General features: G+C 37.2%; 1 long non-coding RNA gene across 1 annotated transcript in view; it reads right to left on the minus strand.

The window, feature by feature from the left end:
- Positions 1-19157, minus strand: part of LOC107984257 (uncharacterized) — a 125247-nt gene continuing 106090 nt past the window's right edge. Inside the window, exons 8-10 of the long non-coding RNA XR_007062253.1 lie at positions 13987-14077; positions 7800-8234; positions 1-369 (exon numbers count right to left, since the gene is read on the minus strand). This is a non-coding gene — a long non-coding RNA (uncharacterized LOC107984257). The remainder of the gene's footprint in view (positions 370-7799; positions 8235-13986; positions 14078-19157) is intronic.

Consider the following 19157-nt stretch of genomic DNA (forward strand, 5'->3'; position numbering starts at 1 on the left):
AATCTGAATACATATTTTCATAAAAGGATAATACAAATGGTCAATAAGCACATGAAAGAATGCCCAACCTCATTAGCCATGAGGAAAATACAAGTTAAAACCAAAATAAAAAGCCACTTCTTACCCACTAGGATGGCTAGAGTGAAAACGACAGATAATGAAAAGCATTGGCAAGGGTATGAAAAAATGGAAGCCATCATACACGCTGCTGAGGATATAAAATGGTTCAGCCAATTTTATGCCTATGTTTTCTTGTAGGAATATTTTCTTTTTAGTTCTTATAGGTGTGTCTTTGATCCAGCCACAGTTGCTCCAAAGATTAAACATAGAGTAACCATATGACTCAGAAATTCCACTTTCAGGTATATGCTGTAAACAAATGAAAACATATATATACACAAAAACTTGTACATAAATATTCATACCAGCATTATTTATAATAGCCAAAAAATAGAAACAATCAAAATGTTTATCAATCAATGAATGGAAACATAAAATATAATATATCCACACTAGAGTATTAGTCAACCGTATAAGGAAATGAAGTACTTATGTGTGCTACGACATCAATGAATCTTGAAAACATTATGCAAGTGAAAGAAGACAGAAACAAAAGATCAATTACTGTATGACTCTATATATGTAAAATGTCCAGAATAGCAAATCTATAGATACACAAAGTAGATTAGCATTGCCTAGAGCTGGAGAATTGGGGAACAATAGGAAGTGACTGTTAAGCATATTGGTTATCTTTTCAGGTTGAAGGAACTGTTCTAAAATTGATTTCTGTCATGGCTGCACAGCTCTATGAAAATAATGAAACCATGAATTGTACTTAAAATGTATGAAGAAATGGTATATGAATTGTCCTCAATAAAAATATTATGTAAATAGAACAAAAAAGAAAAAAAGTTATATTCTGAATATTATAGTGAGGTCTAATGAGCAATGCAGTTTTAAAAGACAGTAATGAGAAAATAGCCACTGGTAACTGAAATACCAGAGACCTTACAGTTCTTTTTAACCTTGGATTAGTGGAGAGGCTCCACAGCATTAAGAAAACCCATATAAATGTGTGAAAACTACTGGGAACTCATGTAGTTACATTCTTCTGGTAAGGTGTTCATACATTTAATGAGATTCTAAAATTAATTGATTTCCAAAAGATAAGAATCATTGACCTTGGAGAAAGAAGGCAAAGAGTAGGAACAATTTGCTTCTTTCCCCTCCAATTGTATCGAACTATTCCACCTTTACTTCATTCCATCTGGAACACATAATTTGAGTGGTACTGGTCATATTCATGGACAATTCTTTGAAAGTCACCTTCATCAGCATTATCGACTCATTGCCATTTTCACTGACTGATTCCTCATTTCTTTCCAGTACTATGAAGTGACTGAATAAAATATTAGTGGCCTTAGGTAAAAAATTTCTTGTCTAGAGTTAGCTGTTTTCAGTTTGTTCTGGTTGGGTCTCTCCCCAGTTTAAAGAAGACTTTGCACCTATATTTATCTTTATAACATCTATATTACTCTTATCCCAGTGTCCAAATTGACTCTACTATTATTCAAATTCATGATCCAAACATTTCCCTTCTTGGTTTAATTTATCAAATACAATATCTAGTATCATTAATAAAATTTCCCACATGGCTCCTATTATTTGGCACTCATATGCTCCTCTAACTACAGCTAATATTTATAGGTCATTGAGGATATGGCAACGTGAACAACCAGGCTTTATTTATTTATTTATTATCTTTAAATTATACTTTAAGTTCTAGGGTACACATGCACAATGTGTAGGTTTGATACATAGGTATAAATGTGCCATGTTGGTTTGCTGCACCCATCAACTCGTCATTTACATTAGGTATTTCTTCTAATGCTATCCATCCGCAAGCCTCCCATCCCATGAAAGGCTCTGGTGTGTGATGATCCCTGCCCTGTGTCCAAGTGTTCTCATTGTTCAATTCCCACCTATGAGTAGGAACATGCAGTGTTTGATTTTCAGTCCTTGTGATAGTTTGCTGAGAATGATGGTTTCCAGCTTCACCCATGTCCCTGCAAAGGACATGAACTCATTCATTTTTATGGCTGCATAATATTCCATGGTGTATATGTGCTACATTTTCTTAATCCAGTCTATCATTGATGGACATTTGGGTTGGTTCCAAGTCTTTGTTATTGTGAATAGTGCCACAATAAACATACGTGTGCATGCATGTTATAGTAGCATGATTTATAATCCTTTGGGTATATACCCAGTAATGGGATGGCTGGATCAAATGGTATTTCTAGTTCTAGATCCTTGAGGAATCACCACACTGTCTTCCACAATGGTTGAACTAATTTAAACTCCCACCAACAATGTAAAAGCATTCCTATTTCTCTACATCCTCTCCAGCATCTGTTGTTTCCTGACTTTTTAATGATCACCGTTCTAACTGGTGTGATTTTGATTTACATTTCTCTGATGACCAGTGATGATGAGCATCTTTTCATGTGTCTGTTGGCTGCATAGATGTCTTCTTTTGAGAAGTGTCTGTTCATATCCTTTGCCCACTTGTTGACGGGGTTGTTTTTTTCCTGTAAATTTGTTTGAATTCTTTGTAGATTCTGGATATTAGCCCTTTTTCAGATCAGTAGAGGGCAAAAATTTTCTCCCATTCTGTAGGTTGCCTATTCACTCTGATGGTAGTTTCTTTTGCCATGCAGAAGTTCTTTAGTTTAATTAGATCCCATTTGTCTATTTTGGCTTTTATTCCCATTGCTTTTGGTGTTTTAGTCATGAAGTCCTTGCCCATGCCTATGTCCTGAATGGCATTGCCTAGGTTTTCTTCTAGGGTTTTTGTGGTTTTAAGTCTAACATTTAAGTCATTAATCTATCTGGATTAATTTTTGTATAAGTTGTAAGGAAGGGATCCAGTTTCAGCTTTCTACATATGGCTAGCCAGTTTTCTTTCCCAGGACCATTTGTAAAATAGGGAATCCTTTTCCTTTTTCTTGTTTTTGTCAGGTTTGTCAAAGATCAGATGGTTGTAGATGTGTGGTGTTATTTCTGAGGCCTCTGTTCTGTTCCATTGGTGTATATATCTGTTTTGTTACCAGTACCATGCTGTTTTGGTTACTGTGGCCTTATAATATAATTTGAAGTCAGGTAGCATGATGCCTCTAGCTTTGTTCTTTCTGCTTAGGATTGTCTTGGGAATGCGGGCTCTTTTTTGGTTCCATATGAACTTTAAAGTAGTTTTTTCCAATTCTGTGAAGAAAGTCATTGGTAGGTTAATAGGGATGGCATTGAATCTATAAATTACCTTGCACCGTATGGCCATTTTCACCATACTGATTCTTCCTACCCGTAAGCATGGAATGTTCTTCCATTTGTTTGTATCCTCTTTTATTTCATTGAGCAGTGGTTTGTAGCTCTCCTTGAAGAGGTCCTTCACATCCCTTGTAAGTTGGATTCCTAGGTATTTAATTCTCTTTGTAGCAATTGTGAATGGGAGTTTACTTATGATTTGGCTCTCTGTTTGTCTGTTGTTGCCGTATAGGAATGCTTGTGATTTTTGCACATTGATTTTGTATCCTGAGACTTTGCTGAAGTTGCTTATCAGCTTAAGGAGATTTTGAGCTGAAACAATGGGGTTTTCTAAATATACAATCATGTCATCTGCAAACAGGGACAATTTGACTTCTTCTTTTCCTAATTGAATACCTTTTATTTCTTTCTCTTTCCTGATTGCCCTGGCCAGAACTTCCAACACTATGTTGAATAGGAGTGGTGAAAGAGGGCATCCTTGTCTTGTGCCAGTTTTCAAAGGGAATGCTTCCAGTTATGCCCATTCAGTATGATATTGGCTGTGGGTTTGTCATAAATAGCTCATATTATTTTCAGATACGTTTCATCAATACCTAGTTTATTCAGAGTTGTTAGCATGAAGCGCTGTTGAGTTTTGTCAAAGGCCTTTTCTGCATCTATTGAGATAATCATGTGGTTTTTGTCATTGGTTCTGTTTATGTGATGGATTACATTTATTGATTTGCATATGTTCAACCAGCCTTGCTTCCCAGGGATGAAGCTGACTTGATCCTGGTGGATAAGCTTTTTGATGTGCTGCTGGATTTGGTTTGCCAGTATTTTACTGAGGATTTTCACATCGATGTTCATCAGGGATATTGGTCTAAATTTTTCTTTTTTTGTTGTGTCTCTGCCAGCCTTTGGTATCAGGATGATGCTGGCCTCATAAAATGAGTTAGGGAGGATTCCTTCTTTTTCTATTGATTGGAATAGTTTCAGAAGGAATGGTACCAGCTCCTCTTTGTACCTCTGGTAGAATTCAGCTGTGAATCCTTCGGGTCCTGGACTTTTTTTGGTTGGTAGGCTATTAATTATTGCCTCAATTTCACAGTCTTTTATTGGTCTATTCAGAGATTCAACTTCTTCCTGGTTTAGTATTGGAAGGGTGCGTGTGTCCAGGAATTTATCCATTTCTTCTAGACTTTCTAGTTTATTTGCATAGAGGTTTTTATAGTATTCTCTGATGTAGTTTGTATTTCTGTGGGATCAGTGGTGATATCCCCTTTATCATTTTTTATTGCATCTATTTGATTATTCTCTCTTTTCTTCTTTATTAGTCTTGCTAGTGGTCTATCAATTTTGTTGAGCTTTTCAAAAAACCAGCTCCTGGATTCATTGATTTTTTGAAGGGTATTTTTGTGTCTCTATATTTTCCATTCTGCTCTGATCTTAGTTATTTCTTGCCTTCTGCTAGCTTTTGAATGTGTTTGCTCTTGCTTCTCTAGTTCTTTTAATTGTAATGCTTGGGTGTCGATTTTAGATCTTTCCTGCTTTCTCTTGTGGGCATTTAGTGCTATAAATTTCCCACTACACACTGCTTTAAATGTGTCCCAGTGATTCTGGTACATTGTGTCTTTGTTCTCATTGGTTTCAAAGAACATCTTTATTTCAGCCTTCATTTCATTATTTACCTAGTAGTCATTCAGGAGTAGGTTGTTCAGTTTCCATGTAGTTGTGCAGTTTTGAGTGAGTTTCTTAATCCTGAGCTCTAATTTGATGGCACTGTGGTCTGAGAAACAGTTTGTTGTAATTTCTGTTCTTTTATATTTGCTGAGGAGTGCTTTAATTCCAATTATCTGGTCAATTTTAGAATAAGTGTGATGTGTTGCTGAGAGGAATGTATATTCTGTTGATTTGGGGTGGAAAGTTCTGTAGATGTCCATTAGGTCTGCTTGGTGCAGAGCTGAGTTCAAGTCCTGGATATCCTTGTTAACCTTCTGTCTCATTGATCTGTCTAATATTGAGAGTGGGGTGTTAATCGTCTCCCATTATTATTGTGTGGGAGTCTAAGTCTCTTTGTAGATCTCTAAGGACTTGCTTTATGAATCTAGGTGCTCCTGTATTGGGTGCATATATACTTAGAATAGTTAACTCTTCTTGTTGCATTGATCCATTTACCATTATGTAATGCCATTCTTTGTCTCTTTTGATCTTTGTTAGTTTAAAGTCTGTTTTATCAAAGACAGGAATGCAACCCCTGCTTTTTTTTTTTTTTTTGCTTTCCTTTTGCTTGGTAGATCTTCCTCCATCCCTTTATTTTGAGTCTATGTGTCTCTGCATGTGAGATGGGTCTCCTGAATACAACACACTGATGGGTCTTGACTCTTTATCCAATTTGCCAGTCTTTGTCTTTTAATTGGGGCATTTAGTCCATTTACATTGAAGGTTAATATTGTTATGTGTGAATTTAATCCCGTCATTATAATGTTTGCTGGTTATTTTGCCTGTTCATTGCAGTTTCTTCATAGCATCAATGGTCTTTACAATTTGGCATGTTTTTGCAGTGGCTGTTAACAGTTGTTTCTTTTCATGTTTATTGTTTCCTTCAGGAGCTCTTGTAAGGCAGGCCTGGTGGTGACAAAATCTCTCAGCATCTGCTTGTCTGTAAAGGATTTTATTTCTCCTTCACTTATGAAGGTTAGTTTGGCTGGATATGAAGTTCTGGGTTGAAAGTTCTTTTCTTTAAGAACGTTGACTATTGGCCCCCACTCTCTTCTGGCTTGTAGGGTTTTTGCAGAGAGATCTGCTGTTAGTCTGATGGGCTTCCCTTTGTGGGTGACCTGACCTTTCTCTCCGGCTGCCCTTAACATTTTTTCCTTATTTCAACCTTGGTGAATCTGACAATTATGTCTTGGGTTTGCTCTTCTCAATGAGTACCTTTGTGGTGTTCTCTGTATTTCCTGAATTTGAATGTTGGTCTGCCTTGCTAGATTGGGAAGTTCTCCTGGATAATATCCTGAAGAGGGTTTTCCAACTTGGTTCCATTCTCCCCACTGCTTTCAGGTACACCAATTCAACAGAGATTTGGTTTTTTCACATAGTCCCATATTTCTTGCAGGCTTCATTCATTTCTTTTTACTCTTTTTCTCTAACTTTGTCTTCTCACTTTATTTCATTGATTTGATCTTCAATCACTGACACCCTTTCTTCCACTTGATGGAATTGGCTATTGAAGCTTGTGCATACATCATGAAGTTCTTGTGCCATGGTTTTCATCTCTATCAGGTCATTTAAGGTCTTCTCTTCACTGTTTATTTTAGTTAGCCATTTGTCTAACTTTTTTCAAGGTTTTTAGCTTCCTTGCAATGGGTTTGAACATGCTCCTTTAGCTCAGATAAGTTTTTCATTATTTCTGACCTTCTGAAGCCTACATCTGTCAACTTGTCAAAGTCATTCTCTGTCCAGCTTTGTTCCATTTCTGGTGAGGAGCTGTGATCCTTTAGAGAAGAAGTGCTCTGGTTTTTAGAATTTTCAGCTTTTCTGCTCTGGTTTCTCCCCATCTTTGTGGTTTTATCTACCTTTGGTCTTTGATGTTAGTGACCCACAGATGGGGTTTTGGTGTAGATGTTCTTTTTGTTGATGTTGATGCTATTCCTTTCTGTTGGTTAGTTTTCCTTCTAACAGTCAAGTCCCTCAGCTGCAGGTCTGTTGGAGTTTGCTGGAGGTCCACTCCAGATTTTTCCTGGGTATCACCAGTGGAGGCTGCAGAACAGAAAATATTGCAGAACAGCAAATATTGCTGCCTGATCCTTCCTCTGGAAGCCTCGTCCCAGAGGGGCACCCACCTATATGAGGTGTCTGTTGGCCCCTACTAGGAGGTGTCTCCCAGTTAGGCTACACGGGGCCAGGTACCCACTTGAGGAGGCAGTCTCTCTGTTCCCAGAACTCAAACACTGTGCTAGGAAAACCACTTTTCTCTTCAGAGCTGTCAGACAGGGACATCTAAGTCTGCAGAAGTTGTGTGCTGCCTTTTGTTCAGCTATGCCCTTCCCACAGAGGTGGAGTCTATAGAGGCAGTAGGCCTTGCTGAGCTGCGGTGGGCTCTGCCCAGTTCAAGCTTCCCGGCCACTTTGTTTACCTACTCAAGCCTCAGCAATGGTGAACGCCCTCCCCCAGTCAGCCTGCTGCCTCACAGTTCAATCTCAGACTGCAGCGCTAGCAGTGAGCAAGGCTCCGTGGGTGTGCAAACTGCCAAGCCAGGCATGGGAGAGAATCTCCTTGTCTGCTAGTTGCTAAGACCTTGGGAAAAGCACAGTATTTGCGTGGGAGTGTCCCATTTTTCCAGGTACAGACTGTCACAGCTTCCCTTGGCTAGGAAAGGGAAATCCCCTGGCCCCTTGCTCTTCCCAGGTGAGGTGATGCCCTGCCCTCCTCCAGCTTGCCCTCCATGGGCTGCACCCACTGTCCAATCAGTCCCAATGAGATGAACCAGGTACCTTAGTTGGAAATGCAGAAATCACCTGTCTTCTGCATTGATCACACTGGGAGCTGCAGACCAGATCTGTTCCTATTCAGCCATCTTGGAATGGAGAGCCAGGCTTTATTATAGAATCTGCATTTCCATAATCCAGACTTCCTTCAAGACAGAGGCCAAAGAGAGGAACAATCTCATAATCTGGTCTCTGAGTTCTATTCTCATTGTATATATCATTCTACAGAACTACTATAATTTCCTCTAATAATTATCCACATTCAACTCTTTTTCTGGTGCATACCTGACCAAATAACATTCCATGTCAACATTCAGGTTTGCAGGTTATTGAAAGACATCCCCAACTCCATATCTATTCAAATTCATTTTTGGTTCCACTCAATTAAGGTTTCTCTCCTCCATCTTTTTGCCACCAAATACCTCTGTACATCTCTTCATACTGCAAGACAATAGTAGCAAACATATGGCTCTGTCCAGCCACATAGTCAGCCCTTGTCATGAAGAATCTGTTTGTTCATTCCACTTGTCAGCATGAATTCACAAAACTCTGACTCAGCCACTGAGTGCAGCTTTCAGGGAGAATAACTTGAAGGCTATAAGCAGGATACAGTACAGGTCTCCAATAATCTTTCCTGAATTATGGCATTTTTAAAAATTGTAAGTCTAATGATTATAGCCTTTGCCTTTTTCTGTATGTAAGATAATATCTTACAGGTTTAATAATTATGCATCTGTAATTTATAAGTAGATTTACCTTTACATTGAAACTTTGATGAAGTTTAGCTCTAATGTAACTTCTAACCACATTTGATGTAACTTATGAGCACATGCAGAACCTCCACCACCAGTATATAAGCTCTTGGCTGAAACAGTACTTTGGAGTATTTTAACAGAAACTCTGAAAACTACCCTAGATTGCAGTCCTCAGGAAGACTCTGAATAAAATTAACTTTAATTCTTTAAAAGGAAGATGTTTTTCTTTAGTTGACAGCACCATTCTACTCATCTAAAATCCCCACTCCTATGTTTTGTGCAAGTATTTAAAGATCTACATCAAAACTCAGGGATTGCAAGAGGCCCTCCTAGGTTTAACCCTTCCTTCTCTCTCTTCCATATGCTGTGTGATATGATTATGCCTACTTTCAATTTATATTTGTATTTTTTAACTTGTTTGTATTTCCATTTCACCTGACATATGCATTCTGTCTTTCTTAGATTATTATTAACTAAAAACAGTGTAATTAGTATATTCTAATTATTTAACAATTTAATTTTTAATTCTTCCATGAAACTTTGGTCACATCCATATACACAATAGGTGCTTGTCAAATACTTCTGGACTGATCATCTCAATGTCTCCAATAAGTACAGAACTAATAAATAAACTGCAAAAATGTAGGCAAGCAAATTTTATATGTCCCATTTTGATACAAAAATTATAAATTCTCATGGATTAGTAATGTTTAGGAGTTATTGAGGTTCTTTTATTTTTCCAAAAAATAACTTTTAACACAAGCAAAATATTTATGTACTTTATTGTGTTTATTTTTATGTAATTCATTTTTTTATTTTTTATTTACTTTTTTAGTATTTAAAAAAATTCTGTGGGTACATAGTAGATGATGTATGTATTTATGGGGTACATGGGATGTTTTGAAATAGCCATGCAATGTGAAATAAGCACATCATGAAGAATGGGGTATCTATCCCCCAAGCATTTATCATTTCAGTTACAGAGAATCCAATTTCATTCTTTACATTATTTTAAAATATAGAATTAAGTTATTATTGAGTATAGTCTCCCTACTTTTCTATCAAATAGTAGTTCTTATTCATTCTTTCTATTTTTGGCACACATAAACTATCCCTACCTTTCCTCGAGTCCCTCACCACCATTGCCAGCCTCTGGTAACCATCCTTCTACTCTCTATGTTCAATCAGTTCAATTGATTTGATTTTTAGATATCACAAATAAATGAGAATATGTGATGTTTGTCTTTCTGTGCTTGGTTTATTTTGCTTAACATAACAATCTCCAGTTCCATCCATGTTGCTGCAAATGACTGGATGTCACTCTTTTTAATGGTTAAAAAGTACTTCATTGTGTGTGTATATATATACCACGTTTTCTTTATCCATTCATCTGTTGATGGACACTTAGGTTACTTCCAGATCTAGAATAGTGTAAGCAGTGCTGCAGCAAAAATGGGAGTGCAGCTATCTCTTCAATATTCTGATTTCCTTTTCCTTGGGTATATACCCAGCAGTAGGATTGCTGGATCATAGGGTAGCTCTATTTTTGTTTCTGTTTTTGTTTTCTTTTTTTTTTTTTTTTTGAGGAATCTCTAAACTGTTCTCCATAGTGCTTGTACTAATTTACATTCTCACCAACAGTGTACCTGGGTGTCCTTTTGTACACATTCTCACCAGCATTTGTTATTGCCTGTCTTTTGGATATAAGCCATTTTAACTGGGGTGAGGTAATATTGTAGTTTTGATTTTCATTTCTCTGATGATAATTGACATTGAGCACCTTTTCATATGCCTGTTGTCCATTTGTATTTCTTTTTTTGAGAAATGTCTATTCAAAACTTTTGCAAATTTTTAGATGGGATTATTAGATTTTTTTTCTATAGAGATGTTTGAGCTCCTTGCATATTCTCATTGTTAATCCCTTGCCAGATGAATAGCTTGCAAATATTTTCTCCCATTCTGTGGGTTGTCCCTTCACTTTGTTGATTGTATTCTTTGCAGTGCAAAAGATTTTTAACTTGATGTGATACCATTTGTCCATGTTTGCTTTGGTTCCCTGTGCTTGCGGGGTATTGCTGAAGAAATCTTTGCCCAGATAAATGTCATGGAGATTGTCTTAAACGCTTTCTTGTAGTAGTTTCATAATTTGAGGTCTTAAATTTAAGTCTTTAATCTATTTTGATTTGATTTTTGTATATGGCAAGAGATAGGGGTCTAGTTTCATTCTTTTGCATATGGCTATCCAGTTTTCTCAGCACCACTTATTGTAGAGACTGTCTTTCACCCCAGGTATGTTCTTGGCACCTTTATCAAAAAGGAGTTTGCTGTAGGAGAGTGGATTTATTTCTGGGTTCTCTATTCTGCTCCATTGATCTATGTGTCTGTTTTTATACCAGTGCCATGCTGTTTGGGTTACTATAGCTCTGCAGTATAATTTGAAATCAAGTAATGTTATTTTGCTTAGAATAGCTTTGGCTATTCTGGGTCTTTTATGGTTCTATATAAATTTTAGAATTTTTTTTCTATTTCTGTGAAGACTGTCATTGGTATTGTTATAGGAATTGCATTGAATCTGTAGCAATGCAAGGAACTGCATGCTTTGGGCAGTATATTTTAACAATATATATTTTTACAAAATGGGTTCTCCCAATCAATGAACATGAAATTTTTTTCACTTTTTTGTGTCCTCTTCAATTTCCTTCATCAACGTCTTATAGTTTTTAGTATAGAGATCTTTTACTTCTTTTGTTAATTCCTAGCTACTTAATTTTCTGTGTGGCTATCATAAATGAGATTACTATTTTTTCTTTTTCACATTGTTTACTGTTAGCATAAAGAAATGTTACTAAGTTTTATATCTTGACTTTGTATCCTGCAACTTTACTAAATTTGTTTATCACTTCTAATAGTTTTCTTGTGGAGTCTTTAGGTTTTTCCCAATATAAGATGTATCATCTGCAAACAAGAATAATTTGACTTTTTTTCCAACTTGGATGCCTTTGATATTTTTCTTTTGTCTGATTGCTCTAGCTCAGACTTCCAGTAATATGTTGAATAACTATGGTGAAAATGGGCATCCTCATCTTGTTCCAGATCTTAGAACAAAAGCTTTCTGTCTTTTCCCATTCAGTATGTACTAGTTGTGGGTCTGTCATATGTGCTTTTTATTATGTTGAGGTATGTTTCTTCTATTCCCAATTTTTTGAGAGTCTTTATCATGAAGGGATGTTAAATTTTATCAAATGCTTTTCAGCATCAATTAAATGATCATATTGTTTTTATTCTTCATTCTGTTGAAACAATGTATTACACTGATTGATTTGCATATGTTGAACCATTTTTGCCTCTCAGGAATAAATCCCACTTGGTCATGATGGACATTTGTAATGTACTGTTGAATTCAGTTTGCTAGTATTTTGTTGAAGATTTTTGCATCAATGTTTAACAGTGATATTGCTCTGTAGTTGTTTTCATATGAATCTTTGGTTGGTTCTGGTATCAGGATAATACTGGCTTCCTGGAATGACTTTGAAAGTATTCCCTCTTCCTCTATTTTTTGTAATAGCTTGAGTAGGACTGGTATTACTTCATCTTTAAATGTTTGGTAATATTCAGCAGTGAAGACATCAGGTCCTGGGCTTTTCTTTATGGGAAAACTTTTTATCCTGACATTGATGTTATTACCTGTTGCTGGTCTGTTCAGGTTTTGGATTTCTTCCTAATTCCATCTTGGTAGGCTGTTTGTATCTAGGAATTTTTCCATTTCTTTTAGATTTTTAAATTTATTGGCATGTAGTTGCTCATAGTAGTCACTAATGATCTCTTGAATTTCTGAAGTATCAGTTGTAATGTTTCCTTTTTCATTTCGGACTTTGTCTATTTGGATCTTATCTCTTTTTTTTGTTAGTCTGGGTAAAGGTTTGTCAATTTTGTTTAAGTTTTCAAAAAAAACAACTTTTTGTTTCATTGATTTTTTTGTAATTTTGTAATTTTAGCTTTATTTATTTCTGCCTTGATATTACCATTTCTTTTCTTCTATTAATTTTGGGTTTGGTTTTCTCTTTTTTAGTTCTTTAAGATGTATTGTTAGATTGTTTATTTGAAGTTTTTTCTCTTTTCTGATGTAGGCACTTAATAGCTACAAACTTCCCTCTTAGTACTGCTTTCGCTGTAACCCATAGGTTTTGGTATAATGTGTTTCCAATAACATTTCCTTCAAAAAATTTTTGAATTTCCTCCTTAATTTGCTCATTGACCCACTGGTCATTCGGGAGCATATTGTCTAATTTACATGTATTTGTATAGTTTTCTAAATTCCTCGTTATTAATTTCTAGTTTTATTCCGTTGTGGTCAGAGAAGATGCTTATTTTTTCAATTTTTTGAACATTTTAAGACTTGTTTTGGTACATAACATGTGGTCTATTCTTAGAGGAGACTTTATTAAACAAACTTATAGCACATAAGGACCACAATATACAAACCTGAATGGGAGATGGAATTCAGTGAGCATAAGGACCTATGTATCATTAGGATGATATACATTGCTAGATAACTAATGCAATGCTTGTGCAAAGGTATGTACTGTAGAGATATTAACATATTTATTTTAATTTTTTATCATATTTATTTTAAATTGGTCAGCATAATTATTCTAAGCTGTTTTATAAGGAAAAATTGAGTTTTTGTCAAGACTCCACTTACACAATGTTTAACCCTCAGGTTTTCAGGGACTCTGATAATTCACAGAGAATGTTCACTCCCATTATATCACTTTTGATTCTCTCAATTATCTTCACCTATGGTAAAATCATCCCCATTTTAAAGATGAGGATATCAAGACTCAGGGACTTATCATCTGCGCCAAGAACATGGTGTCTGCAAGTTGTAGAGCAGAGGCTAGTACCCATAACCTTTGCACCTCAAAAACTTCTCTCTAAGCAAATTATTCAGTTCAACATTCATGAATGTGTACTGTGATACACCATTTCATTATTTCCTCTAATCAGTGACTTTCAAAATAAACATTGAGTTAATCATTGCAGCACCAGTTGATTAAAAAGGGGGTCAAGAAAGTTTGATTTTGTAACCTTTTGAACTTGCATGAACCCAGGTCTTAGTGAACTTTTTATACTAGAACAAAGATAAGCCGCAATTTGATGCCTGATTCACATTGCTCTAAACTCTGAAAGAAACACACTCCTTTATTATGGTTAAAATGAACACTGGCTGTCTTTAGATCATCTGCTTTATTCCCTAAGAGATGCAGGTCTCTACTCTCCTCTTCCTTCCTATCATAAGACTCCCACCTGTATCATTTTATAAAATGAGAGAATTACAGATAATTAAAGATAGAAGGAACCTCAGCAACCCACTCTTCTAATTCCCTACTTTATCGTTAAGAGTAAGGAACTCATGGCTCAGTGAGGTGATGCGTTACCTATGAATGAGAAGAAGACATTTTTTTCAAATCCAGGTTTCCAATTCCCTGTTCAGTGACTTTTCACATCAATAAGATTTTCCATCATTGCCTAAATGAATGGACAAGATGTCATCAGCATGAAGTGCTCCACAAAAAGAATCATAAACCTTGCTTGACAAGAGGTTTTTTTTTGGTTTAAATTTTATTTTAAGTTCCAGGATACATGTGCAGAACGTCCAGGTGTGTTACATCTGGGTAAACATGTGCCATAGTGGTTTACTGCACATATGAACCCATAACCTATGTATTAAGCCCCACATACATTAGTTTTATTCTGATACTCTCCCTCTCCCCACCGCCCCTGACAGGCTTCAGTGTGTGTTTTTCACTTCTCTGCATCCATATGTTCACATTGTTCTGCTCCCACTTATGAGTGAGAACATGTGTGTTTGTTTTTCTGTTCCTGTGTTAGTGTGCTGAGGATAATGGCTTCCAGCTTCATGCATGTCCCTGCAAAGGACATGATCTCTTTGCTTTTTATGGCTGCATAGTATTCCATGATATATATGTACCACATTTTATTTATCCACCCTATCTTTGATGGGCATTTGGGTTGATTCCATATATTTGCTATTGTGAATAGTGCTGCAGTAAACATATGTGTGCATGTGTCTTTATAATAGAATGATTTATATTCCTTTGGGTATGTGCCCAGTAATGGGATTGCTGGGTCAAATGGTACTTGTGGTTCTAGATCCTTGAGGAATTGCCACACTGTCTTCCACAATAGTTGAACTAATTTACCTTCCCATCAACAGTGTAAAAGCATTCCTATTTCTCCACAGCCTCACCAGCATCTTTGTTTCTTGACTTGATATGAGTGGCATGAGGTGGTATCTCATTGTGGTTTTGATTTGTATTTCTCTAATGATCACTGATGTTGAGCTTTTTTTCATATGTTTGTTGGTTGCATAAATGTCTTCTTTTAGGAAATGTCTGTTTATGTCCTTTGCCCACTTTTGCATGGGTTTTTTTTCTTACAAATTTGTTTAAGTTCCTTGTAAATTCTGGATATTAGACCTTTGTCAGATGGGTATATTGCAAAAATTTTCTCCCATACTGTATGTTGCCTTTTGCTGTGCAGAAGCTCTTTACTTTCATTAGATTCTATTTGTCAATTTTTGCTTTTGTTGCAATTGCTTTCGGTCATTGCATTATAAAATGTTTCTCCATGCCTATGTCCTGAATGGTGTTACCTAAATTTTTTTCTAGGGTTTTTATAGTTTTGGGTTTTACATTTAAGTCTTTAATCCATCTTGAGTTAATTTTTGTACAGGGTCTAAAAATGGAATCCAATTTCAATTTTCTGCATATAGCTAGCCAGTTCTCTCAGCACCATTTATTAAATATGGAATACTTTACCCTTTGCTTGCTTTTGTCAGGTTTGTTGAAGATCAGATGGTTGTAGATGTGTGGTCTTATTTCTGAGATCTCTATTCTGTTCCATTGGTCTATATGTCTGTTTTGGTACCAGTGCCATGCTGTTTTGGTTAATATAGCCTTGTAATATAGTTTGAAGTCAGGTAGTGTGATGCCTTCAGCTTTGTTCTTTTTGTTTAGGATTGTCTTGGTTATACAGGCTCTTTTTTGGTTCCATATGAATTTTAAATTCGATTTTTCTAATTTTGTGAAGAATGTCAATAATAGTTTGATGGGAATAGCATTAAATCTATAAATCATTTTGAGCAGTATGGCCATTTTCATGACATTAATTCTTCCGATCCATGAAAATGAAGTGTTTTTCTGTTTCTATGTTTCCTATCTTATTTCCTTGAGCAGTGGTTTGTAGTTCTCCTTGAAGAGGCACTTCACATACCCTTTTAGCTCTATTCCTAGGTATTTTATTCTCTCTGTAGTAATTGTGAATGACAGTTCATTCATGATTTGTTGCTCTGCTTGTCTACTGTTGGTGTATGGGAATGCTTGTGATTTTTGCACGTTGATTTTGTATAATGAGACTTTGCTGAAGTTGCTTATCAGTTTAAGGAGCTTTTGGGCTGAGTCTGAGGATTATGTTGTTCAATTTCCATGTAGTTGTATGGTCTTGAGTACTAATTCGATTGCACTGTGGTCTGAGAAACTGTTAGAATTTCAGTTCTTTTGCATTTGCTGAGGAGTGTTTTACTTCCAATTATATGATCAATTTTAGAGTAAGTGCCATGTGACACTGAGAACAATGTATATTCTGTTGTCTTGGGGTGGAGAGTTCTGTAGACACCTATCAGGCCCACTTGATCCAGAGCTTCCAGAGCTCAGTTCAAGTCCTAAATATCATTAATTTTCTGTCTCAATCTGTCTAATATTGACAGCAGGGTATTAAAGTCTCCCACTTTTATTGTATGGGAATCTAAGCCTCTTTGTGGGTCTCTAAGAACTTGTTTTGTGAATCTGGTTGCTCCTGTATCAGGTGCATATATATTTAGGATAATTATGTTTTCTTGTTGAATTAATCTATTACAATTATGTAATGCCCTTTGTCTTTTTTTCTTCATTGGTTTAAAGTCTGTTTTGTCAGAAACTAGGATTGCAACCCTTGCTCTTTTTTCTGCTTTCCATTTGCTTTGTAAATTTTTCTCCATCATTTTATTTTGAGCCTGTGTGTGTTTTTGCATGTGAGATGGGTCTCTTGAATACAGCACACCAATGAGTCTTGACCCTATCCAATTTGCCAGTCTGTGTCTTTTAATTGGAGCATTTAGCCCATTTACATTTAAAGTTAATATTGTTATGTGTGAATTTGATCCTATCATGATTCTAGCTGGTTATTTTGCACACTAGTTAATGCAGTTTTTTTATAGTGTAATTGGTCTTTGTATTTCAGTGTGTTTTTGTAGTGGCTGGTACCAATTTTTTCTTTCCATGTTTAGTGCTTCCTTCAGGAGCTCTTGCAAGGTAAGCCTGGTGGTGATAAATTCCCTCAGCATTTGCTGTCTGAAGAGGATTTTATTTCTCCTTTGCTTATAAAGCTTAGTTTGACTGGATATGAAATTCTTGGTTGAAAATTCTTTTCTTTAAGAATGTTGCATTTTAGCTGCCACTCTCTTCTGGCTTGTAGGGTTTCTGCTGAGATGCCCACTATTAGTCTGATGGGCTTTCCTTTGTAGGTGACCTGGCCTTTCTCTCTGGCTGCACTTAACATTTTTTCCTTCATTTCAATCTTGGAAAGTCTGATAATTATGTGTCTTGGGGCTGATCTTCTCATGGAGTATCTTACTGTGGTCCCCTGTATTTCCTGAATTTGAATGTTTACCTCTCTTGATAGGTTGGGGAGGTTCTCCTGGATGATATCCTGAAGTGTGTTTTTTAACTTGGTTCCATTCGCCCCGTCTCTTTTAGGTACTCCAATCAGTTGTAGGTTCAGTCTTTTTACATAGTCTCATAGTTCTTGGAGGTTTTGTTCATTCCTTTTCATTCTTTTTTCTCTAATCTTGTCTGTCTGCCTTAATTCAGCAAGATAGTCTTCAAGCTCTGATATTTTTTCTTCCATTTGATCAATTCAGCTATTGATACTTGTTTTTGCATTATGAAGTTCTTGCGCTTTATTTTTCAGCTCCATCAGGTCATTTATCTTTCTCTCTAAACTGGTTATTCTAGTTAACAGCTCCTATAACCTTTTATTATGTTTCTTAGCTTCTTTGCATCGGCTTAGAACATGCTCCTTTACCTCAGTAAAGTTTGTTACCACCCACCTTCTAAAGCCTACTTCTGTCAATTTGTCCATCTCAACCCCTGTCCAGATCTGTGCCTTTGCTGGGGAGGTGTTTCAATCATTTGGAGAAGAGGCACTCTGGCTTTTTGAGTTTTCAGCATTTTTTCATTGATTCTTTCTCATGTTCATGAGTTTGTCCAGTTTTGATCTTTGAGGCTGCTGATCTTTGGATGAGGTTTTTGTGGGGACTTTTTTGTTGATGCTGTTGTTGTTGCTTTCTGTTTGTTTTTCTTTCGATAGTTAGGTCCCTTTTCTATAAGCCTGCAGCAGTTTGCTGGGGGTCCATTTCCTGCCATATTCATCTGGGTCTCTCCAGCACATGGTGATGTGACACAAGGAGGCTGGAGAACAGCAAAGATGGGTGCCTATTCCTTCCTCTGGTATGTCTGACATCAAGGGGCATCAACCTGATGTCAGTAGACACACTCCAGTATAGGATGTCTGGTGACCCCTGTTGTGGTGTCTCAGCCAGTTGGGGTGAATGGGAACCAGGACCTGCTTAATGAAGCACTTTGATTGTCCCTTTGTGGAGGGGGTGTGCTGTGCTGTGGGAAAACCTATTCATCTGGGCTGGTTCATTCTCATCTCATGCAGATTCTTCAGAGCTAGGAGGGGGAAAGAATAAATATACTGGTCTGTGGAGACCATAGCCACCACTCCCTTTAGAGACTCAGGCCCAGGGATATCAGAGCTATGTCCGTAAGCCCCTGGCTGTAGTTGCTGGAGTTCCTACAGGGAAGCCCTGCCCACTGAGGAGGGATGGGTCAGGGTCCAGCCTAAAAAGGCAGTCTGGATAAGGTTTGCACAGCTGGTGTGCTTCATTGTGAGGAAATACTTTTTGGAACCAAGCCAGTCTCCTCAGCTCCAGCAGGAAAAAAACATGGCCTGAGCTATAGTGATGGTTGCTGCAATCCCCCGCAAGGAGTTCAGTGTCTTAGGCAGCTAGCAGCCACAGTGGTGGCTGCCATGTCTCCCCCAGGGAGTTCAGTTTTCTTAGGCAGGCAGTAGCTGCATTGATGGCTGCCACCCCTCCCCCAGGGAGTTCAAATGGCTTAGACAACAGGGAGCTGCAGTGATGATGGCTGCCCCTCCTTCTGGGAACTTGGTAATCTTAGGCAGATTCCAGCTGAGTTGCTGTTGAGAATCTGTGTAGTTCTATGGTTGAGACCCAAGGCCCTGGTAGTGTGGGATCACAAGTGGGGTCTTCTGAACTGTGGGTTATACAGACCAATGGAAAAAGCACTGTTTCACAGGCTGGGTAGCTTGCTCACTCACCACTTCCCTTCGTTGGGAGTTGGGGTTCTCCTTGCCCCATGTAGCTCTCAGGTGGGGCAACCCACCACCCTGCTTTTCCTGGCTCTCCATGGGTGATGCCAACTGCTTAGTCAATTCTGATGATAGAACCTGGATACCTTGGTTG

This window comes from Homo sapiens, chromosome 10, assembly GCF_000001405.40.
Source record: "Homo sapiens chromosome 10, GRCh38.p14 Primary Assembly".
NCBI lineage: Eukaryota > Metazoa > Chordata > Mammalia > Primates > Hominidae > Homo > Homo sapiens.